The sequence below is a fragment of the Homo sapiens genome, chromosome 9, assembly GCF_000001405.40.
Source record: "Homo sapiens chromosome 9, GRCh38.p14 Primary Assembly".
NCBI classification, from domain to species: domain Eukaryota; kingdom Metazoa; phylum Chordata; class Mammalia; order Primates; family Hominidae; genus Homo; species Homo sapiens.
The window spans coordinates 137,443,421-137,464,268 of record NC_000009.12 but is presented as its reverse complement, the minus strand read 5'-3'; the positions used below and the strand labels follow the sequence as shown (position 1 = coordinate 137,464,268).

The window sequence follows — 20,848 nt, the reverse complement described above, 5'->3', positions numbered from 1 at the left end:
CTGGGTCAGCCTCCCCAGACACAGGACAGGAGCGTGATGGGAGAGGGCCCATCTGAGCCCCGTCCGCCCGCAGGACCTGTGGATTCCTTATTTCGCCATCACCACCGACATCACAGCCTCGGCCATGCGGGTCCACACCGACGGTGAGCACTCCTGCTGCGCAGGGCGGCCGCTTGGGTGCGAGGTGTGGGCAGGGGGAGAGCTCAGCAGCCCCAGGGGTTGGGAAGGCCGCGGGGTCTCCTGAAGGATGCAGACGTATGGGCAGCTTTGTCCATGGAGGACACAGGATGCCCCTACTAGGGGCACAGACAGGAGGGGGCGTGGCCTGGGCCAGAGACCTCAGAAGGCTGGAGGAGACCCTCACAGAATCAGCAATGTTGGGCTAGACTGATGGATACCATGTGAGAGGACAAAGTGAGGGGCTCCCTGAGTCCTGGGGTGAGGGGCTCACCTGGTTCAGGGGGATGAGGGGTTCACTCGGTCATGGGGTGAGGGGCTCCCTCAGTCCTGGGGTGAGGGGGTCACAGCAGTTCGAAGTCCTGGGCACATGTAATGCAGTGCGACCCCAGAGAAAGAACTCAATTTTGTTCAGCCCTTGGGCCATGAGCTTCCCTCTGTGGAGGCGGCCTCAGAGAGTTGGGACCTACCAGCTCCAGGACTGCAGTGGCAAGGCCCTGAACCCTGGACCCAGGAGGAGCCTCCTCCGGGTAACCAGCAGCTCCGGGCCCCCTCCCCAGGCTCCCTGTGGTGGTACGTGCGTGCCAGCATGTCCCTGTCCGGTTACATGCCCCCTCTCTGTGACCCGAAGGACGGACACCTGCTGATGGACGGGGGCTACATCAACAACCTCCCAGGTACTGCGGTGGGGGGACCACGCCCGGCAGGAGCACAGGCTCCTGGGTCACGCCGCCCCACGGCCCCTGCCACAGCTGCCTCCGCTCCAAGAAGCCTGGGCTGGAACACGTTTTCCTTAGAGTATGCCAAGGGAAAATGTCAGGCTGGCATCAGAGCTCCGAGAACATGCACACGCGTGTACATGCACACGCAGGCACCGGCAGCATGTGCTCCAGCATATGGCCCTGTTTGTCAGCTCAGCAGCATGCAGAACAAAGGCCAAGTCGAGGAACTGGGAGCAATTAAGCCCCATCTGTGCCCACAGTCAGAAACTAACAGCCTGCAGGTGTCGAGCTTGCTGGGGGCCAGGCCAGGCCACTCCTGTCACCTGTGGGATATACGGTCAGAAAGGCCCAGGACACAGCCGTGTGCCCACAGCTGCCCATCGAGCTGGGCATGTGGGTCTTCTGCCTCTAGAAGGTGTAATGGCGGAGAGGAGACCCCACAACCCCCACGTCAGGGCTCGGAGAGGCAGGCTCTGCCCCCGTCCCCTGGCTCTGCATGCCTGTCCAGGGGGTAACCAGGGCTGGCTTCTCCCTAGCGGATGTGGCCCGGTCCATGGGGGCAAAAGTGGTGATCGCCATTGACGTGGGCAGCCGAGATGAGACGGACCTCACCAACTATGGGGATGCGCTGTCTGGGTGGTGGCTGCTGTGGAAACGCTGGAACCCCTTGGCCACGAAAGTCAAGGTGGGGTGCTACCGGGCAGGCTGGGCTGTCCCTGCTGCTCCTCCCTGCAGCTCCACACCTGTCCTGCGGCAGGGGAGTGGGGGTCGCTCCTGGGCTCTGAGGCCAGCAGGTCTGGGGCCACCCCTCACCACCCCTGCCTGAGCCCAACTCGGGCGAAGGAAGGCACGAGGCCGGACGGGCCTGAAGGCTGTGGCAGCCCGCAGGGAGGACCCCCGGCCGGGTGCTGCTACCCTCTCCCCCCAGAACCTACCTACCCCAGAGGATGGGTCCCCAGAACCTGTCCTGCGCCACGGGCCAGGCTGGGACGGGGTAGGGGCCGGGGCAGGAGACTCAGGCGGCTGTGACGGCAGCAGGTGTTGAACATGGCAGAGATTCAGACGCGCCTGGCCTACGTGTGTTGCGTGCGGCAGCTGGAGGTGGTGAAGAGCAGTGACTACTGCGAGTACCTGCGCCCCCCCATCGACAGCTACAGCACCCTGGACTTCGGCAAGTTCAACGAGATCTGCGTGAGTGCCGGCCACCCGCGGCGGCGGAGGCGGGCGGAGGCACTCTGGTGGCTGCCCCTCCTCGCTTCCCCCTTTTGAGAACACAGGAAGTGGGGGGCTCCCCACACCTCCTGACGGGGCCCTGGGGGTGTGCACAGGAAGTGGGCTACCAGCACGGGCGCACGGTGTTTGACATCTGGGGCCGCAGCGGCGTGCTGGAGAAGATGCTCCGCGACCAGCAGGGGCCGAGCAAGAAGCCCGCGAGTGCGGTGAGTACGGGCGTCCGGACCACGCCCAGCTCCCCGGACCGCGCCCAGTTCTTCGGGCCACGCCCACGCCCAGTTCATCAGGCCACGCCCAGCTCCTCAGGCCACAGGCCCTGCCCCCCTGGCCAAAGACTCCAGGGCCAGGACAAGGATTGCTCAGGACTGCGCATCTCCCCGGTCCCTGCCCTTACTTGGGGGGCAGGCGGAGGCTGCAGAGAGGGCGCAGGGTGGGTGGGGCCTCCCCACAGGAAGCAGGCTGGGGACTGGCAGGCGGGTGTCCACAGGCAACGTGCTGTCCTCACCCCACCCCTAGGTCCTCACCTGTCCCAACGCCTCCTTCACGGACCTTGCCGAAATTGTGTCTCGCATTGAGCCCGCCAAGCCCGCCATGGTGGATGGTGAGTGGAGGCGCAAGACGAAGCCGTGGAGACGTGCGTGACCTCCTGATGCTGTGTTGGGCTTGAACCCCCCCACCCCAGAGGCCCACGGCCTCCCCTCCCGCCCACGTCCACGCCCAGGCTCCAGCAGCTGGGGTGCTTGGTGGCACTCCTCCGTCCCGGGCACCACGTGTTCCCACAGCAGTGGGACTGTGACCACCCCGGGTCACCCAGCCCCTGCCCTTCATTCACCTCAACTCCCAGCCACACCTCAGGCCTGAAGTAGAACCACGTTTTGCCTCCCACCCCACCCAGTGGGAAATGGGAATGAAGGCTGCTTGTTGGAGGGGCCGCAGGACAAGAAGGGCGGGTCCACTACCCTCCATGCTCCATCCAGGGCCCTGCGCTTGGGCCTTCAGCCAGTGGCCTCCTCACAGCAGAACTGGACATTCTCCTGGGAGACGTCTTCATGGCTGCCGCAGGCCGAGAGGGCCCTGGGCAAGGCAGCCCCTATCCACAGTTGCCAGGTCTGGGGTGCTGGAGCCCTCAGGGTGCTTGGCTGACAAGGGGAGGAGTGTCTGCCCGCTCCTTGTCCTTGTGGAAGACCCACGAAGTGATGTGCTGGGGCAAAGCTGGAGCCAGACAGAACCAGGGGTGGTGTGCAGGGCTGCCCTGGGACCAGGTGGCTGCGTGTAGGGCCCCGGGCCACCTTGGAGGCGGGGGTGGGCATCTGTGGCCGGTTCTGCCTCTGAGTGTGGCTATGCTGGGTACGGTCCCTTCCTTGGGAGGGGACTGACGCAGCCCTACCCTCGGTGCCAGACGAATCTGACTACCAGACGGAGTACGAGGAGGAGCTGCTGGACGTCCCCAGGGATGCATACGCAGACTTCCAGAGCACCTCAGCCCAGCAGGGCTCAGACTTGGTGAGGAGCTGGGCATGGTCCCACCTGGTGCCCACAGCTGAGCCTTGGTGCCTGGCCCTGTGCCGGCCACTCCCTCCCTGTGGTCCCACCGGGTTACCAGCGCTGCAGAGCCCCTGCCCTGCCTGGTCCTCACCTGGAACATGCGGTCTGCTTGCAGGAGGACGAGTCCTCACTGCGGCATCGACACCCCAGTCTGGCTTTCCCAAAACTGTCTGAGGGCTCCTCTGACCAGGACGGGTAGAGGCCTCTGCTAAAGAGCCCGGATGCAGCGTCTTCCGTGGGACTGTCCCCAAGGCTGAGGCTCCTGCCAAGTCCTAGGGGCCTCTGTACCTGCCCTGCTGGAAGCCCTGACTTCCCCGGGGCCCCAGGCTGTGTTAGGGTTCTCTGGGCCTCTTCTTTGTACCAGCAGCCCTGCATACAGGGCCCTGTGAGCCCCCCTGCAGTCCTGTGAGGCCCCTGAAGCTCTGTGAGGCCCCTGAAGCTCTGTGAACCCCCTGCAGCCCTGTGAGGCCCCCCGAAGCCCTGTGAGGCCCCCCGAAGCCCTGTGAACCACCTGCTGCCCTGTGAGGCCCCCAAAGCCCTGTGAACTGCCTGCTGTCCTGTGAACTGCCTGCTGCCCTGTGAGGTGTGGGAGCCCTGATGCTGCCGTGTGATGTTTCAATAAAGGTGGATCTCACTGTTGGACGTGTCTCCCGGGCCGAGGTCCCTGTGGCAAAGAAACACTACTGGTTCTCCCTGATGCGGGTGGTCCCTGAGGCTGGGCAGTCCCCAGTCCTCCTCAAAGGACCCCACTGCTGGGGCCTGAGAGCCCTAGGGCGGCAAATGCAGGCCAGGCAGGTAGGGCGTCCAGAGTCTGCATAGAGCTGTGGCCCCCCAGGACCAGGACGGGCCCCTCTGTCTCTCTCTGGCCTCGTGCAAACTGGGTGCCCCCTAAACTGGCTTCCCCTTCGGTTTCCAGTTCCCAAACTGCACAGGGAGCCCTTTTGTGTAAGGGGAGGGAGAACCGGCCTCCCTGTGATCCTGCAGGTCTGAGCAGCAGATCGTGAGGGCCGAGGGCCCAGGACTTTGCGACCAGGGGGCCGCTGGCCTCAGTTTCCCCGCTCTGGAGGCCTGGACGAGAGGGCGCGGAGCCAGGCCGCCCGGCCCCGCCCCCAACTCAACCCGGGCCCGGACGTCACGGTGGGCGGGGCCACATGTCCTCTCCGAGCTCTCCGGGGCCCTGACGTCACGGTAGGTGGGGCCGACCGCCCCTCTGGGCCCGCCCGGGCCCTGACGTCACGATGGGCGGGGCCGGCCCTCGGTTCGGGCAGCGCTCTCCCGGGAGCGGCGGCACGCGCGGAGCGCCGGGTGCGGCCATGCGGGGACCGGGCCCGACCCCGAGCCCGACCCCGAGCCCAAGCCCGAGCCGGAGCCCGAGCGAGACCCCGAGCCCGAGCCCGAGCGCGACCCCCGGTGCGGCGCGGCTACCCCGGCGGAGGCGGCGGGCGCGGGGCGCGCTCTGAGGCCCGGGGGATGCGCCGCCGCCTCGACCATGGGCGCCGCCGCCTCCAGGAGGAGGGCGCTGAGGAGCGAGGCCATGTCCTCGGTGGCGGCCAAAGTGCGGTGAGTGCGGCGGGGCCGCCTTCCCGCACCCCGCCCTGGACCTCCGACCCCGCCCGAGTCCGCCCCTGCCCCGCGGTGCTCCCCGGGCTCCCGGGCCCCGGCCTCTGCCACTGAGGCGCCCTCCCCGCGCCCCGCGCCTCCCTCTTCCTGGTCCCCTGCCCTGCTCTTCCCTCCCCTCCCCTCGCGAGCGCGTGGTGGGCGAGCGCACCCCCCAGGTCGGGAGTGGCCTCGGTTCCCCCGGGGAACAGCAGCCGACCGGCCTCGCGACCCCTCTCCACGGTCCGACGGGCAGGGGCCGGGCCTGCAGGCCTGGCCAGGGCGCACCAGGACCAAGGGTGTGTGGGCTCCCGGAGGGGGACGACCCCGACCCTCCTTCCAGACGCCGAGGGCCTGGCTGGGGACCGGACCCCCGGCTCTTGCGCGGCCCGGTGTTTGGGAGGGTCGTGCCGTGGCCTCTGACCGTGCCCTCTGTCCACCCTCAGAGCAGCCCGAGCGTTTGGAGAGTACCTGTCCCAGAGTCACCCTGAGAACCGCAACGGCGCAGGTAGGGGCACGCGAGGCCGTGCCAGGGCCGCCCAGACCCCCCAGCCCAAGGGATGCTGATCCCTGCCTCCGGGGGTGGAGCGTGAGGGGCATTGGTTGCGCGTGGGCCCGGCGCCCTGCCGGCCTGGCTTCCTTACATCCCCTGCCCTCCCTGCCCGAGCCCCAGGAGCAGTTCCCAGCCGCTCGTCACCATGGCACCCACCCCGCCTGGGCCGTTGGCATGGCAACAGGCCTCCTGGCTCCCCCAGGGCTGGCACCACTGCCTCTGGGGGCCAGCTGGTGGGGGGAGGGGGAAGTTGGCACCAGGCAAACGGTGCGATCGCAGGCTGGGGGATGGCCTGCGTGTTCCTACCCGGCAGGACCGCACACAGGTAGCACAGCGTCACCCAGCCCCCACGCACATGCTAGAGCTTCAGGCCCAGATAGGAGTGAGGGGCTCAGAAACACGCCAGTGACTAGGGTTTGGGCAGCCCTAGTCCCCCACAGAGGCCAGGTGCCCACTGGGTGTTCTCTGCCTTCGGCCTGCTATGAAACCGGCAGCGGGGGGCCCACACGCGGCAGGCAGGCTCACTCAGTGTCTCTCCTAGATCACCTGCTGGCTGATGCCTACTCTGGCCACGACGGGTCCCCCGAGATGCAGCCGGCCCCCCAGAACAAGCGCCGCCTGTCCCTCGTCTCCAACGGCTGCTACGAGGGCAGCCTCTCAGAGGAGCCCAGCATTAGGAAGCCCGCAGGCGAGGGCCCTCAGCCTCGAGTGTACACCATCTCTGGGGAGCCTGCCCTGCTGCCCAGCCCTGAGGCGGAGGCCATTGAGCTGGCGGTGGTGAAGGGGCGGCGGCAGCGGCACCCTCACCATCACAGCCAGCCCCTGCGCGCCAGCCCTGGTGGCAGCCGGGAGGACGTCAGCAGGCCCTGCCAGAGCTGGGCGGGCAGCCGCCAGGGCTCCAAGGAGTGCCCCGGATGTGCCCAGCTGGCTCCTGGCCCCACCCCTCGGGCCTTTGGGCTGGACCAGCCACCTCTGCCTGAGACCTCCGGTCGCCGCAAGAAGCTGGAGAGGATGTACAGCGTTGACCGTGTGTCTGGTGAGGGGTTTGTGTCAGGGCATAGACAGGTTTGGGGGTGCATGCCGCTGCCAGGGTCTGACAGCAGCAGCCACTGTGAGGCTTGGAACAGAGAACAGGTGCTCAGGTCACAGCATGCCAGCGGACTCAAGATTAAAACCGGCAGGCTTCTGCTGCGGCCTCCACACCCTATGAGCTGTGAGCTCCCTCAGCTCCTCAGCAAAATCTGCCAGGCCTCACAGTCCGCTTTCGCCCTGCTAGCACCAGGTCAATCAAGGAGTGCTTCCTGGAGGAGGGGGCCTGGGAGGATCTTAAGGGATATGTAGGGAGGAAGCACCGCTTAATCAGGAGACTGGGCTGCCCTCCGAGAGTCCTGGGGAGCTGTTGGGGCCCAGCCAGGCAGTGGGCATCTTTCCCCAGGGTTGTTGAGTTGTGTGGTAGCTTGTCCACCAGGCAGAAAGTCACTCCACTGTCCCCACACTTGGGCATCAGGGAAAGGCTGTGGGGGCCCTCGGAAGGGGACAGCCCTCAGCAAGGTGGTCTCTAGCCTCGGTGAGGGCCTCCAGCTAGAGCATGGGGGCTGCAGAGAAGGCCTCAGAGCCTCTTCTGCCCAAGGGAAACAGACGCATTGTTTTCCTGGGCCTCCTGGAGACAGACTGTGCTTTCAAAGGAATGTTTCTCAAACTTTGGGTGGCCAAAGGGAAAGTTAAGCCAAAAAAATCAAAGCGTCAAGTTACCAAGAGCGTGGTCTTGGTGAGTGAGCAGCAGACATTCGAGCACTGCCCTCTGTGCCCGTGTGGGGATGCCACCCTCCCCCCACCCGCCCTGGCTGCCAGCTTCTGCTGACCCCTGGACCCAGAAGCATCTGCTTCCCAACAGGGAGGGAGAGGCTTCAGGAACCCCTACTTCACCCAGCCACCGCTCCTTTTTGTCTCTCTTAGACGACATCCCTATTCGTACCTGGTTCCCCAAGGAAAATCTTTTCAGCTTCCAGACAGCAACCACAACTATGCAAGCGTGAGTCTTGTGCCCACGACTTGGGGTCAGGGTTGGGTGGTCTCTTTCTGCTGCTCAGGAAACAGCACTTTTTCCCAGTCTCTGGGCCTACCAGGGGGGCTGCTTCTGAACAGACCCACGTGCCTATGCTGTGCCAGGCCTGCCAGGGAGGCCAGGGCTGACTGCTCTTCCCCTCCCATGGCTGGTGCCCAGCCCCCCCCCCCACACACACACAGTCAGGGGACCTGGCCCAGGGCTGCAGCTGATGAGCTCTCAGTGGGGTGTGGGGTGTGGCAGGTTCTCCTGCTCCTATCCACTCTCCTCAGCCTGTGTCTGCCCTCCCTCAAACCCCAAATAGAAGCCTACTTCTGTTTCATACGTGCCATAGGTCATCACAGTTTCAGGGTCCCCGCAGGGACCTGCTCCTCTCTGTCTTGACATACATTTGGCTTTTCTGTTCTGGGATTCCTTCCAGGGAAGTTCCCTTTGCTGCATTGGTCCCCACACCAAAGAAGTGTCCTGCCCGGGGGAGTCCACCCCACACCCAGCCTCAGGCTGCCTGGTCTCAGCAACCAGTCCTTGTGGCATGGGCTGCAGTGACATCAGCTTCCGTTGCCCATTCAGGGCTGGCCAGCAGTGTAGCCAGCATCCTGCTGGTGGCTGGGTTACCTGTGAGGGACCTATTGGGTCAGTGACAAGAAGGGAACTGTAGGGACCGGGTGGGGGCTGAGGGGAGGCCCGGGGTTGAGCTCACTGTGTCTTCTCTCTCACGCCATCCCTTCTGGCCCTGGCTTCAGCATCTCGTAAGTACCTGTATGACTTGGTGCCTAAGGGCACAGCTGTTGTCCCTGGGGAGACCCTCCCACCCCAAATAGGTTTGGGCAGGCCAGGGACCTGGGTCTTGAGGGAGTGCCGCTCTCTGCGGGCCTGGCTCCCAGCGGGCACCGAGGTCGCAGCAGGGCCTGCTGGGAGCTGGGCCTCGACAGGTGAGGCAGGCTGGGACTCCTCTGCCGGGCCCCGTGCCCCAGACGCCCTGCTGGGCCCTCTGCTCGCACCACTGTCCCGACGTCTGTGTCCCTCCTGCCTCCGGCCAAGGGCAGTGCTGACTCGCGGTGGTTTCCCAGGGTGTTCAGGGGCTACGCGGAGAGGAAGCGCCGGAAACGGGAGAATGATTCCGCGTCTGTAATCCAGAGGTAGGGCCTGCCAGCCACTCGCCACCAGGGTCCATCTCTGGTCTGTGCTGGCCTGGCCTGGGCCCCCTCGGCCCTGGCAGACCTGATGGGGGAAGGGTGGTGGCGACCACTGGCCTGGCCCTGCTCTGGGGACGTGGCAGGCAGGAGAGGCCATGTGGCCCGGGCTGCAGGAAAGCATCTCACCCTCAGTCCTGCACTCCGAGGGCACGTGTCTCTGTCTGGGCTGGGGCCAGCAGCAAGGCCCCCCTCCCCCACTCCAATCACACAGATGTGTCTGGGAAGCTTTTTTGCCCGTTTTGGATGTTGGGCCTTGGCAGGGTCCAAAGTTTGGTGGAGGAGAGGACCTGCCCCTGAGGTGGCTCAAGGACACAGAGCAGGAGAGGGGGCTCCTGCAGGCCCCCAGCCCGCCATGGGGTGGTGCAGACAGGAGCCCCGCTCTGCTGCAGCGCAGGCAGGCTGGATCCTCTGCCACATGGGCGTGGAGGCTCAGGGCGTAAGTCCCGGGCGAGGACGGAAGGTCAGAGCCTGGGAATGCAGCTCGGGAGGAGACTTGATCCAGAGCGCCAGGCACTGCACCTTTGTTCTGGAGTTGAAGGGGAGCCCTGGAAGGCTGTCGCGGGAAGAGCACTGGGTGGGATTTGCCTTTGGGTGGGAGGTGGTGCCAGGAGCCAGGGAGAGCACTGGCTTCCCACACCGAAGGGGTGAGAGTAGAGCCATGACCCGACGGGGGCTAGGTGGGCAGGGGCTGCCGTCACCCTCTCACGGCCCTCTTCAGCCCCTGGCTTCCTCCCCCAGGAACTTCCGCAAACACCTGCGCATGGTCGGCAGCCGGAGGGTGAAGGCCCAGAGTAAGACCCCGTGCGGCGGGGGTGGGGGGGCGGCGTTGCGCTTGGCTGGTTGGGGCTTTGCTTGCTGCTAGCTGCGATAAGAACGACCCCCGCCCCAACCCCAATCGGGCCCTGCCTCAGGCTCCTCCCCTTCCAGCCACTTCCCCAGCCCGGCCCAGGCTCCTCCCCTCCCAGCCACGCCCCCAGCCCGGCCCAGGCTCCTCCCCTCCCAGCCACGCCCCCAGCCCGGCCCAGGCTCCTCCCCTCCCAGCCACGCCCCCAGCCCGGCCCAGGCTCCTCCCCTCCCAGCCACGCCCCCAGCCCGGCCCAGGCTCCTCCCCTCCCAGCCACGCCCCCAGCCCGGCCCAGGCTCCTCCCTTCCCAGACTCCGCCTCTGGCCCTGCCCCAGTGTTCTCAGATCCTGCCCCTGAACCAACCGAGCCTCTGGTCCGTGTCTGCTTCATGTGCCTTAGACCCCACCCACATTAGCTTCCTCCTCTGCCCAGGGCCCCTGTGGTCCCCTCGCCTGGGGTCTGAGACTCCCGAGGCCCCGCCCCACCCGCTCGCTAATGCGGGTTTTGCTCTCTGCAGCGTTCGCTGAGCGGCGCGAGCGGAGCTTCAGCCGGTCCTGGAGCGACCCCACCCCCATGAAAGCCGACACTTCCCACGACTCCCGAGACAGTAGGTGCCCCGCACAGGCCCGCCCACCTTCCCCAGAGCCTCCCCTAGACCCCAGACCCCTGCTGGGGGTCCCCTGCCAGGGCCGCTGGGCTGCGCTTTTGCACTCCTGAATCTTGGTTTACCTGTTTGTGAGATGGGGACGCCCTCAGCATCTCCGATCGCAAAGGCGGGGCTAACAACGGCCGCGGCAGTGCTGGCCGGGGGCGCCTGTAGGGCCGTGCCCACCGCCACTCGCAAGAGGCCCTCAGGGGCAGGGGGCTGCGGTGCCCGCCCCCACTCCCTCCCAGGCGCCCGGCGGACTTGGCTGGAGCTGATGCCTGCACGCGCCTTCCACCGGCCTCGCACCAGGGTCTCCCTTCCCACATCAGGCCGCTGCCCAGTGGTGTCCACAGGCCTGTCCTGCCGGGCTGGCGGCGACCTCTGTATGGTCCTCCCACTTGCTTGGAGGACCCTCCGGGATGGGGCTTTCGGGCCCTGTGGGCCTTGGGGCCATGGCCAGGATAGGAGGTGCTGCCGGGCCTGCTGTCCTGGTGACCCTCTTGCTTCCCAGGCAGTGACCTGCAGAGCTCCCACTGCACGCTGGACGAGGCCTTCGAGGACCTGGACTGGGACACTGAGAAGGGCCTGGAGGCTGTGGCCTGCGACACCGAAGGCTTCGTGCCACCAAAGGTCATGGTGAGGCCCAGCCCGGGCAGTGCTCCTCTACACCCCGAGCAGGACTCCGCCCCAACCCGAGTCCAGCCAGCTCTGCCTGGGACCACGCAGCCTTCTCCAGCTGCCTGGGGGAGGGTGTCTCACAGGGCTATACCCTTGGGCTGCCTGGCAGCCAGAAGGTAGCCTCATGGGGGCTCCCACAGCCCCTTGGCTTTTGGATGGGCCTGGGGCCCCTGAGCAGCTCTTTGTCTCCGCAGCTCATTTCCTCCAAGGTGCCCAAGGCTGAGTACATCCCCACTATCATCCGCCGGGATGACCCCTCCATCATCCCCATCCTCTACGTGAGTCCCGCCCCGGGCCTGCCCCCAACAGATGCCCTCTTGCGGCCCCACCCTGGGCCAGCGCCGGCACCCCAGGTCCCCAGGGTGCTGTGGCGCTGCTGGCTCTGACGCAGCCTTGATGTGGCCTTGTGGCCTGTGTCTGTCCCCAGGACCATGAGCACGCAACCTTCGAGGACATCCTTGGTATGTGCCTCATTGGCCTTCTCTCTGCTGGTTCCAGGCCTGGGAGGGGCAGACACAGGTGGGGGTGCCCCTGGGGCTGGGGTGGGGGCCGCAGCACTCACACCCGCTCTCCCACAGAGGAGATAGAGAGGAAGCTGAACGTCTACCACAAGGGAGCCAAGATCTGGAAAATGCTGATTTTCTGCCAGGTGGGGCTCAGTGCTCGTCTCCTGACCAGGAGAAGAATCGTGGTGGGGCAGGGGAAGACCAAGGGGAAGAAGTCAAGTTGGGGGAGACCAAGGGGAAGAGGTTGGGGTGGGGAGACCAAGGGGAAGAGGTGTTTGTGGGGGAGACCAAGGGGAAGAGGCGTGGGGGTGGAGACCAAGGGGAAGAGGTGTGGCTGGGGGAGACCAAGGGGAAGAGGCTGGGGTGGGAAGACCAAGGGGAAGAGGTGTTTGAGGGGGAGACCAAGGGGAAGAGGTGTGGCTGGGGGAGACCAAGGGGAAGAGGCTGGGGTTGGGGAAGACCAAGGAGAAGAGGCGTAGATGTTGAGGGGGAAAGATCAAGGAGAAGAGGCGTGTGGCGGGGGGAAACGAAGGGGAAGAGGCGTGTGGCTGGGGGAGACCAAGGGGAAGAGGTGTGGCTGGGGGAGACCAAGGGGAAGAGGCTGGGGTTGGGGAAGACCAAGGAGAAGAGGTGTAGACATTGAGGGGGAAAGATCAAGGAGAAGAGGCGTGTGGCGGGGGGGAAATGAAGGGGAAGGGGCGTGTGGCTGGGGGAGACCAAGGGGAAGAGGTGTTTGGGGGGTAGATCAAGGAGAAGAGACGTGGCGGGGGAAGACCAAGGGGAAGAGGCGTGTGGCGGGGGAGATCAAGGGGAAGAGACGTGGCGGGGGAGATCAAGGGGAAGAGACGTGGCGGGGGAGATCAAGGGGAAGAGACGAGGGGCAGGGGAAGATCAAGGGGAAGAGGCGTGTGGAGGGGGAGATCAAGGGGAAGAGGCATGGTGGGGAGATCAAGGGGAAGAGGCGTGTGGCCAAGGAAGACCAAGGGGAAGAGACGTGGCGGGGGAGACCAAGGGGAAGAGGCGTGTGGTGGGGAAGACCAAGGGGAAGAGGCGTGGAGGGCAGAACAAGGGGAAGAGGCGTGTGGCGCGGGAGATCAAGGGGAAGAGACGTGGCGGGGGAGATCAAGGGGAAGAGACGTGGCGGGGGAGATCAAGGGGAAGAGACGAGGGGCAGGGGAAGATCAAGGGGAAGAGGCGTGTGGAGGGGGAGATCAAGGGGAAGAGGCATGGTGGGGAGATCAAGGGGAAGAGGCGTGTGGCCAAGGAAGACCAAGGGGAAGAGACGTGGCGGGGGAGACCAAGGGGAAGAGGCGTGTGGTGGGGAAGACCAAGGGGAAGAGGCGTGGAGGGCAGAACAAGGGGAAGAGGCGTGTGGCGCGGGAGATCAAGGGGAAGAGACGTGTGGCAGGGGAAGATCAAGGGGAAGAGGCGTGTGGAGGGGGAGATCAAGGGGAAGAGACGTGGAGGGGAGATCAAGGGGAAGAGACGTGGTGGGGGAGATCAAGGGGAAGAGACGTGGCAGGGGAGATCAAGGGGAAGAGACGAGGGGCAGGGGAAGATCAAGGGGAAGAGGCGTGTGGAGGGGGAGATCAAGGGGAAGAGGCGTGGGGGGGAGATCAAGGGGAAGAGGTGTGGGGGGGAGATCAAAAGGAAGAGGCGTGGCGGGCAGGTCAAGGGGAAGAGGCATTGGGGGGAGATCAAGGAGAAGAGCGTGTGGTGGGGGAGATCAAGGGGAAGAGGCATTGGGGGGAATTAAGAGGAAGAGGCGAGGGGGGGAGATCAAGAGGAAGAGGCGGGGGAAGATCAAGGGGAAGAGGCGTGTGGTGGGGGAAATCAAAGGGAAGAGGCGTGTGGTGGGGGAGATCAAAGGGAAGAGGCGTGTGGTGGGGGAGATCAAAGGGAAGAGGCGTGTGGTGGGGGAGATCAAGGGGAAGAGGCGTGTGGTGGGGGAGATCAAAGGGAAGAGGTGTGTGGTGGGGGAGATCAAAGGGAAGAGGCGTGTGGTGGGGGAGATCAAAGGGAAGAGGCATGTGGTGGGGGAGATCAAGGGGAAGAGGCGTGGGGGGGAGATCAAAGGGAAGAGGCGTGTGGTGGGGGAGATCAAGGGAAAGACGTGTGGTGGGGGAGATCAAGGGGAAGAAGCGTGGCCGGGGGATGAAGACCAAAACTACCTCCCACGCATGTGCGTGGGTGCATGTGTGTCGGAGAGGGGGAGGAAGGAGGAGCAGATGCCTGACCACAGCTTCTTACAGGGAGGTCCTGGACACCTCTATCTCCTCAAGAACAAGGTGGCCACCTTTGCCAAAGTGGAGAAGGAAGAGGACATGATTCAGTGAGAAGCCGGGTGCCCTGGGCGCGGGGAGGGCTGGAGGCAGAGTCCAGGCCCTGGCATGTCCCTCCCCCACAGCCCCTCCTCCACGGTCCGCTCTGTGGAGTGGGGTGCCTGTCCCCTGCCACTGGGTGACCCACCCCTCTCCACCAGCTTCTGGAAGCGGCTGAGCCGCCTGATGAGCAAAGTGAACCCAGAGCCGAACGTCATCCACATCATGGGCTGCTACATTCTGGGGAACCCCAATGGAGAGAAGGTACAGTGACCCCCAAGCCCCACCCCAGACCTCTGGAAACCCCCGACGTGGACAGACAGGGCAGAGCCTTCCATGTTTCCTGGCATTTTTTTTCCTTCCCCCGGGCATTCCCCTAGAAATCCTTTATGCCTGAGCCCAGCCAGGTTTGGGGGGTCTGAAAAAAGAGGGTGGGCCCTGCTCCCCATCTCCTCCCCGCTCCTCCTTCCCCATCTCTCTGCCTCGGACTCATGGCACCCCGCTTCCTCCAGCTGTTCCAGAACCTCAGGACCCTCATGACTCCTTATAGGGTCACCTTCGAGTCACCCCTGGAGCTCTCAGCCCAAGGTGAGTTACCCAGGCTGGGCCGAAGCTCTGCAGCCACTGCGGGGCCACGGTGGGGTGGGATCCCCAGGGCCGGCCAGGCCTGAGCCTCCTGCCCCCGCTCCGCCCAGGGAAGCAGATGATCGAGACGTACTTTGACTTCCGGTTGTATCGCCTGTGGAAGAGCCGCCAGCACTCGAAGCTGCTGGACTTTGACGACGTCCTGTGAGGGGCAGAGGCCTCCGCCCAGTCACCATCAGGCCACTCCCTCTGCACCGGGACCTGGGGCTGGGCCGCCTCGTGCTCCCCGGGACTGTGTGGCTCCGGTCTCGCCTGGAGCCACTTCAGGGCACCTCAGACGTTGCTCAGGTTCCCCCTGTGGGTTCCGGTCCTCGCTGCACCCGTGGCCGCAGAGGCTGCAGTCCCTGGGGGCCGGGAGGATCCCGCCCTGTGGCCCGTGGATGCTCAGCGGCCAGGCACTGACCTGCCATGCCTCGCCTGGAGGCTCAGCTGTGGGCATCCCTCCATGGGGTTCATAGAAATAAGTGCAATTTCTACACCCCCGAAACAATTCAAAGGGAAGCAGCATTTCTTGTTAACTAGTTAAGCACTATGCTGCTAGTTACAGTGTAGGCACCCCGGCCCAGCAGCCCAGCAGCCCACATGTGTTCAGGACCCTCCCTGCCCACCCCCTCCCTGCCGTATCGATCACCAGCACCAGGGTGGCCCGTGTGCGTGGGGCCAGCGTCGCCGGGCTGCCCAGCCTGGCTCTGTCTACACTGGCCGAGTCTCTGGGTCTGTCTACACTGGCCGAGTCTCCGACTGTCTGTGCTTTCACTTACACTCCTCTTGCCACCCCCCATCCCTGCTTACTTAGACCTCAGCCGGCGCCGGACCCGGTAGGGGCAGTCTGGGCAGCAGGAAGGAAGGGCGCAGCGTCCCCTCCTTCAGAGGAGGCTCTGGGTGGGGCCTGCTCCCCATCCCCCCAAGCCCACCCAGCACTCTCATTGCTGCTGTTGAGTTCAGCTTTTACCAGCCTCAGTGTGGAGGCTCCATCCCAGCACACAGGCCTGGGGCTTGGCAGGGGCCCAGCTGGGGCTGGGCCCTGGGTTTTGAGAAACTCGCTGGCACCACAGTGGGCCCCTGGACCCGGCCGCGCAGCTGGTGGACTGTAGGGGCTCCTGACTGGGCACAGGAGCTCCCAGCTTTTGTCCACGGCCAGCAGGATGGGCTGTCGTGTATATAGCTGGGGCGAGGGGGCAGGCCCCCCTTGTGCAGAGCCAGGGGTCTGAGGGCACCTGGCTGTGTTCCCAGCTGAGGGAGGGCTGGGGCGGGGGCCGGGCTTGGAACGATGTACGATACCCTCATAGTGACCATTAAACCTGATCCTCCACCGCGGCCGCCGCGTGGGTCTGTCCTCTCAGTGCTTTCCAGGGGCCTTCCTGTGCCCAGCTTCTGGGCCCACTCCTGTGAGGTCACTGCTGCAGGGCCTTCCTGCCTGGACAGAGTTGGAGCTAGGCCACTAGACCACCCCACAGGGCATAGCCAGGGGGACCAGCACAGGAGGGGACGGAGAGGAGCTGCAGGAGGGCTGGGGGGAGGCTGCAGTCTCGGAGGGGGGCCTCGCCGGGTCTGGAGGGGACAGCAGAGACAGCCCGTTCCCCCTGCCGCCTGAGGGCACCAGGGAGAGGGCTGTATGTCCCTCACGCCACACTGTGTGTGCAGTCAGCAGTGTGGCCACAGATGGGGGCCACTCTCTCAACCTCAGGTGTCCTCAGGGCCCAGACCGCTGCTGGGCACAGCCAGGCTGGCTGCCAGCTGGTTCCCTGCCCCGTGGCTGGGGGACAGAGCAGCACGTATCAGCTGGGCTAGGGTCAGGGGGCCACTGGTGCGCAGCCTGGCACAGCCTGGCAGGCTTGAGGCCCAGTGTGCTGGGGGTGGTCACACAGCCGTCAGCCACCTCCAGCTCTTCCAGGGCATTCTAGATGGGGTCCCGGGAGGGGGCAGGTTTTGGTGCCAATTTGAGTGTATAAAGTTTTAGGTAAATACCAAATGCCTGTAGACTCTGTGTTATTCAGTTACTATTTGAAAGTGACATATCGTGAAATCATGGGGGATCCGAGTCTCCTTTCTGCAAAGTTGATGAGACAAGTCGCCACCGCCTGGAATCTGCTGACGCTGCCGTGCAGGCCTCAAGGGTGGCACTCTTCAAAGTAGGACAGCATGCGAGGTCGCCACGTGCCCACACACTGCACTGCTCCAAAGGCACATCTGTCCGTCACCTGAGCTCTGAGACCCAGAACAGCCACAGGGACCCTGCAGTCCTAACCCGTCAGGTGGCTCCTGGGGCTGCTGCCAGCCGCATGCCTGTCCCACACAGTCCGGTCCGTAGGGTCTGCTGGAGTGAGTAAGGCCTGGGGGGCCTTATGTATGGTCCATGAGGTTCCATTCCTCATGCCATGACCACCGGGGGAAGTGAAAGGAGGAAGACACGTCAAAGCCAGCAGGCCCAGGAGCAGACATAGAAGGAGGTGGCCCCACAGGAGCAGACGCAGAAGTGCCAACGGGGAAGGAGGTGGCCCCAAGTGGAGGCAGGCTGGGCCAGGGCGGGGGGCCGGTGACCAGGGCAACCTCGGCTACTTTGCTGCACCCGCCCTCGCCTCCCTTGAAATACAAAAACAGCAGCAGCCAGAAATAGTTGGGGAAGAAATAAGAAATATTTGCCACACATGGGAGTGATTAAGGTCCTTAATATTTAAAGAGTTTTTATATGTTGCTAAAGAAAATGACAAAAACCGATATGGAAAAGTGAGCAGAGATGTGGAGAAATCATTCGCAGAGCAGGAAACTGGCTGGTAATTCCATGAAGAAAGTCCTCATCCCATCAGGAATCATGGAAAGGCCAATGAAAGCGACGAGGTAACCCCCTTTTCAATTTGAGAGGGTTTTGATCTGTCGCGCAGGCTGGGGCTCACCGCTGTCTTGACCTCCTGGGCTCAAGCGATTCTCCCACCCGCTCAGCCTCCGGAGTAGCTGGGACTACAGGCATCACCACGCCTGGCTAATTCTTTTATGTTTTGTAGAGACAGGGTCTCACTCTGTTGCCCAGGCTAGTCTCAAACTCCTGGCCTCGAGCAATCCTCCTGCCTCCTCAGCCTGTTACAGCTTTTTTTTTTAAGGTAATCTGGTAACAGCTCTTAAAAGTAGTGTGACTGATGAGTGCACAAGCCCGTCCAGCCCCAGCCGCCCCCTGGCACCTTTTCTGAGGGTGTCTACTGCCCCGCTGTGCTGTGCCCGCTAATCTGGGTGTGGCCCGATCGCACAATGGCTTTTCTGGAAGGATCCGATGCTCACGAGGCTTATTGCTAAGGAGGAAGATGCAACAGGTCCAGCTGTTCCAAGTGACTGGGTCACGCTTCACATCGATGTGCAATGTCTCCTGCCACCTGCCTGGATGCACTCTCGTGACTACCTGGCAGGCTGGGAACAGCACGGGGGAGGCCCCCGCCTGCCCCAGCGACCTGCCTGCCCTGCTCTCAAGTGCAGACCCCCAGGTCTGCACTTCCACGCTCACTACACAACCCCAAGTGGCCCCCCGGGTGGCCCCGTGGCCGGATGTGCACCCAGCAGAGCAGCCACCCTTGAGACCTGGGGTGTGGTCTGGGGGCTGTGTGGAGACCTCCCGCCAGGGTGCAGGAGTGTCTAAGGGCAAGCAGAGGTGTGATTCCTGTCTGTAAGGTAAAACCCCCGTGAGCAGGAATCAATAATGTAGACATGATCGGAATGGTGGAGGGAGCTGTGGCGGTCACACCCTTGCTGTTAGCATTGCCTCTGTGGGGGCAGGAGACAGCAAACATAAAACCTGTCCCTGAAAGGGGCAAGATGGCCCCGATGGCTCCCTGCACCTGTCCTGGTGCCTGCAGGCAGGCGGGTCAGCTCCCCTCCCGCTGCCAAATCTCCCACGTCTCTGTGCGCTCTGTCACCCCTGCTTTCTGGCCTGAGGGCTGGGAAGGGAGGTCTGGGGAGCCCAGGAGCTGAGAAGTACCCAAAAACCACCCCCAACGCCCCCCAACCCTCAGGCGTGCCTGTGAGTGTGTCTGTGTGTCTCACTCTGACTCACCCAGACAACTGACTTCAGCAGCCAACCTTGGTCATTCCCAGAACCACCACTGGGGGGCATACGTGTGGCTAGACTGGGGGCGCCCGAATATCTGTCTCTACAAAAAGTAAAAAAAAAATTAATGGGGTGTGGTGGTGGTGCGTGCCTGTGGTGTCAGCTGCTTGGGACGCTGGGGCAGGAGGATCACTTGAGCCCGAGAATTCAAGGCTACAGTGAGTTAAGATTACGCCACTGCACTCCATCCTGGGTGACAGAGCAAGACCTTGTCTCAAGAAAAAATTTTTAAATGAGTAAAATTTTAAAAAACAGATTTTGTCAGTCTTTCTGTCATTTCAACGCCTTCTCAACCTTGGTGTCTGCTGATGGCCTCTTCCCTGCTGGTCAGGATTCTCACAGTTCTTTGGGTGTGGAGGAATTCTGGTTTGTAATTTTTTTTTTTTTCTTAGAGTCTCTTTCTGTTGCCCAGGCTGGAGTGCAGTGGCACAATCTCGTCTGACTGCAACCTCCACCTTCCGGGTTCAAGTAATTCTCCTGCTTCAGACTCCCAAGTAGCTGGGATTACAGGCACCCACCACCACGCTTGGCTAATTTTTCGTATTTTTAGTAGAGACAGGGGTTTCACCATGTTGACCAGGCTGGTCTCGAACTCCTGACTTCAGGTGATCCACGTGCCTTGGCCTCCCAAAGTGCTGGGATGACAGGCATGAGCCACCACGCCTGGCCTGGTTTGTAATGTTTTGAATCTTACTTAATATGAGACTCGGAGTCTTCCTTTTATCCTATGGTGAACATTGCTGTTTTAGTTTCAGCCTCAGTGGCTATTGGTCCAAGGTCAGTTTTTCTCCAAGATTTTGGGGCACCCTCTGGTCTAGTCACACGTATGCCCCCCAGTGGTGGTTCTGGAATGACCAGGCTGGTCCTGAACTCCTGGCCTCAAGTGATCCTCCTGCCTTGGCCTCCCAAAGTGCTGGGATGACAGGTGTGAGCCACCATGCCCGGCCTGAAGACTTTAAAGTAGCTATTATAGCGGTGCCTAACTGAGCCATCGTGAGCACTTAAAATGTCAGAAGAGAAAGTCTCAGCAAAGGCTGGGCCCAGTGGCTCACGCCTGTCATCCTAGCACATTGGGAGGCCGAGGCGGATGGATCACTTGAGCACAGAAGTTTGAGAGAAGCTTGGGCAACATGGTGAAACCCTGTTTCTACTAAAAACAAAAACAAAAACAAAAATCAGCCGGGCACAGTGGTGCATGCCTGTGGTCCCAGCTACTTGGGAGGCTAAGGAGGGAGGATTGCTTGAGCCAGGGAGTTCACAGCTGCAGTGAGCTATGATCCTGCCACTGGGCCCGGTGGCTCACGCCTGTAATCCCAGCATTTTGGGAGGCCGAGGTGGGCGGATCACCTGCGTTCAGGAGTTCGAGACCAGCCTGGCCAACCTGGTGAAACCCTGTCTCTATTAAAAATACAAAAAAATTAGCCGGGTGTGGTGGCGCATGCCTGTAATCCCAGCTACTGGGGAGGCTGAGGCAGGAGAATCACCTGAACCTGGGAGGCAGAGGTTGCCGTGAGCCTACGTTGTGCCACTGTACTTCAGCCTGGGCAACAGAGTGAGACTTCGTCTCAAAAAAAAAAAATTTATATATATGTATATGTTTTAACTGAATAAAATGAAAATACAACATATCAAAAATTGAGAGAGATAGCTAAACAGTGCTTAAGAGGGAAATTCATAGCACAAATGCTTACATTAGAAAAAAAGAAAGGTTCAAGTCAATAATCTAACCTTCTGCATTAAGAAACCAGAAAAGGAGGAGCAATATAAGCTCAAATCAAGCAGAAGAAAGGAAATACAAGTAAGAGCAGAATTAAAATAATTCAAAAACCGGCCGGGCGTGGTGGCTCACGCCTGTAATCCCAGCACTTTGGGAGGCCGAGGTGGGCGGATCATGAGGTCAGGAGATCGAGACCATCCTGGCTAACACGGTGAAACCCTGTCTCTACTAAAAATACAAAAAATTAGCTGGGCGTGGTGGCACATGCCTGTAGTCCCAGCTACTCAGGAGGCTGAGGCAGGAGAATGGCG

At 62.8% G+C, this 20,848-nt stretch overlaps 2 protein-coding genes and 1 non-coding gene across 18 annotated transcripts in view, besides 11 other annotated features; all 3 read left to right on the top strand.

Moving 5' to 3' along the window:
* PNPLA7 (patatin like domain 7, lysophospholipase) overlaps positions 1–4,317 on the top strand; it is a 90,451-nt gene extending 86,134 nt beyond the window's left edge. For all 7 annotated transcript variants that reach the window (XM_047423367.1, XM_047423366.1, NM_152286.5 and 4 more), the window contains 8 exons: positions 74–143; positions 738–854; positions 1,436–1,584; positions 1,938–2,090; positions 2,228–2,338; positions 2,649–2,733; positions 3,532–3,635; positions 3,793–4,317. In XM_047423367.1, the coding sequence (XP_047279323.1) occupies positions 74–143; positions 738–854; positions 1,436–1,584; positions 1,938–2,090; positions 2,228–2,338; positions 2,649–2,733; positions 3,532–3,635; positions 3,793–3,876 (873 nt within the window). In that variant the 3' untranslated portion in view covers positions 3,877–4,317. The remainder of the gene's footprint in view (positions 1–73; positions 144–737; positions 855–1,435; positions 1,585–1,937; positions 2,091–2,227; positions 2,339–2,648; positions 2,734–3,531; positions 3,636–3,792) is intronic.
* Positions 1,364–2,296: an enhancer, noted in NCBI's record as "H3K27ac-H3K4me1 hESC enhancer chr9:140356425-140357357 (GRCh37/hg19 assembly coordinates)". NCBI's record gives its function as "activates a minimal SCP1, AML or CMV promoter by ChIP-STARR-seq in naive H9 embryonic stem cells {active_cell/tissue: H9 hESC(naive)}" and the evidence as "EXISTENCE:reporter gene assay evidence [ECO:0000049][PMID:30033119]".
* Positions 2,297–3,230: an enhancer, noted in NCBI's record as "H3K27ac-H3K4me1 hESC enhancer chr9:140355491-140356424 (GRCh37/hg19 assembly coordinates)". NCBI's record gives its function as "activates a minimal SCP1, AML or CMV promoter by ChIP-STARR-seq in naive H9 embryonic stem cells {active_cell/tissue: H9 hESC(naive)}" and the evidence as "EXISTENCE:reporter gene assay evidence [ECO:0000049][PMID:30033119]".
* Positions 4,705–5,054: a silencer, noted in NCBI's record as "silent region_20626". NCBI's record gives its function as "represses an Ori minimal core promoter by ATAC-STARR-seq in GM12878 lymphoblastoid cells {active_cell/tissue: GM12878}" and the evidence as "EXISTENCE:reporter gene assay evidence [ECO:0000049][PMID:35858748]".
* On the top strand, positions 4,935–16,699 carry NSMF (NMDA receptor synaptonuclear signaling and neuronal migration factor). Of its 10 annotated transcripts, NM_001130969.3 has the most exons (16): positions 4,935–5,237; positions 5,720–5,781; positions 6,368–6,862; positions 7,783–7,858; positions 8,635–8,640; positions 8,962–9,030; positions 9,826–9,878; positions 10,449–10,538; positions 11,089–11,213; positions 11,450–11,533; positions 11,683–11,716; positions 11,834–11,904; positions 14,014–14,093; positions 14,244–14,346; positions 14,595–14,670; positions 14,778–16,699. In NM_001130969.3, exons 1-16 carry the CDS (start codon positions 5,167–5,169, stop codon positions 14,873–14,875), a joined length of 1,593 nt encoding a protein of 530 aa, NP_001124441.1. In that variant the 5' UTR covers positions 4,935–5,166; the 3' UTR covers positions 14,876–16,699. The 10 variants fall into 10 exon arrangements, with proteins under 10 accessions (NP_001124441.1, NP_056352.3, NP_001124442.1 ...); NM_015537.5 differs by lacking the exon at positions 8,635–8,640; NM_001130970.2 differs by lacking the exon at positions 8,962–9,030.
* Positions 5,145–5,414: a silencer, noted in NCBI's record as "silent region_20625". NCBI's record gives its function as "represses an Ori minimal core promoter by ATAC-STARR-seq in GM12878 lymphoblastoid cells {active_cell/tissue: GM12878}" and the evidence as "EXISTENCE:reporter gene assay evidence [ECO:0000049][PMID:35858748]".
* Positions 6,054–6,751: an enhancer, noted in NCBI's record as "H3K27ac-H3K4me1 hESC enhancer chr9:140351970-140352667 (GRCh37/hg19 assembly coordinates)". NCBI's record gives its function as "activates a minimal SCP1, AML or CMV promoter by ChIP-STARR-seq in primed H9 embryonic stem cells {active_cell/tissue: H9 hESC(primed)}" and the evidence as "EXISTENCE:reporter gene assay evidence [ECO:0000049][PMID:30033119]".
* Positions 8,533–9,414: an enhancer, noted in NCBI's record as "H3K27ac-H3K4me1 hESC enhancer chr9:140349307-140350188 (GRCh37/hg19 assembly coordinates)". NCBI's record gives its function as "activates a minimal SCP1, AML or CMV promoter by ChIP-STARR-seq in naive H9 embryonic stem cells {active_cell/tissue: H9 hESC(naive)}" and the evidence as "EXISTENCE:reporter gene assay evidence [ECO:0000049][PMID:30033119]".
* Positions 10,043–10,092: a silencer, noted in NCBI's record as "silent region_20624". NCBI's record gives its function as "represses an Ori minimal core promoter by ATAC-STARR-seq in GM12878 lymphoblastoid cells {active_cell/tissue: GM12878}" and the evidence as "EXISTENCE:reporter gene assay evidence [ECO:0000049][PMID:35858748]".
* Positions 10,153–10,202: a silencer, noted in NCBI's record as "silent region_20623". NCBI's record gives its function as "represses an Ori minimal core promoter by ATAC-STARR-seq in GM12878 lymphoblastoid cells {active_cell/tissue: GM12878}" and the evidence as "EXISTENCE:reporter gene assay evidence [ECO:0000049][PMID:35858748]".
* Positions 10,299–11,180: an enhancer, noted in NCBI's record as "H3K27ac-H3K4me1 hESC enhancer chr9:140347541-140348422 (GRCh37/hg19 assembly coordinates)". NCBI's record gives its function as "activates a minimal SCP1, AML or CMV promoter by ChIP-STARR-seq in primed H9 embryonic stem cells {active_cell/tissue: H9 hESC(primed)}" and the evidence as "EXISTENCE:reporter gene assay evidence [ECO:0000049][PMID:30033119]".
* Positions 11,181–12,064: an enhancer, noted in NCBI's record as "H3K27ac-H3K4me1 hESC enhancer chr9:140346657-140347540 (GRCh37/hg19 assembly coordinates)". NCBI's record gives its function as "activates a minimal SCP1, AML or CMV promoter by ChIP-STARR-seq in primed H9 embryonic stem cells {active_cell/tissue: H9 hESC(primed)}" and the evidence as "EXISTENCE:reporter gene assay evidence [ECO:0000049][PMID:30033119]".
* Positions 13,801–15,000: an enhancer, noted in NCBI's record as "MED14-independent group 3 enhancer chr9:140343721-140344920 (GRCh37/hg19 assembly coordinates)". NCBI's record gives its function as "activates an origin of replication core promoter dependent on BRD2, BRD4, P300/CBP and CDK7 cofactors, and independent of MED14, by STARR-seq in HCT116 cells {active_cell/tissue: HCT116}" and the evidence as "EXISTENCE:reporter gene assay evidence [ECO:0000049][PMID:35650434]".
* Positions 14,183–14,243, top strand: MIR7114 (microRNA 7114). The gene has a single exon (NR_106964.1). It is a non-coding gene; the product is annotated as a microRNA 7114 (primary transcript).

Coding starts and splice junctions, on each gene's coding strand:
- NSMF (NM_001130969.3), top strand. CDS start 5,167: ATGGGCGCCGCCGCCTCCAGGAGGAGGGCGCTGAGGAGCGAGGCCATG. Junction 5,782..6,367: donor TGAGAACCGCAACGGCGCAG/GTAGGGGCACGC, acceptor TGTCTCTCCTAG/ATCACCTGCTGGCTGATGCC. Junction 14,347..14,594: donor GGAACCCCAATGGAGAGAAG/GTACAGTGACCC, acceptor CGCTTCCTCCAG/CTGTTCCAGAACCTCAGGAC.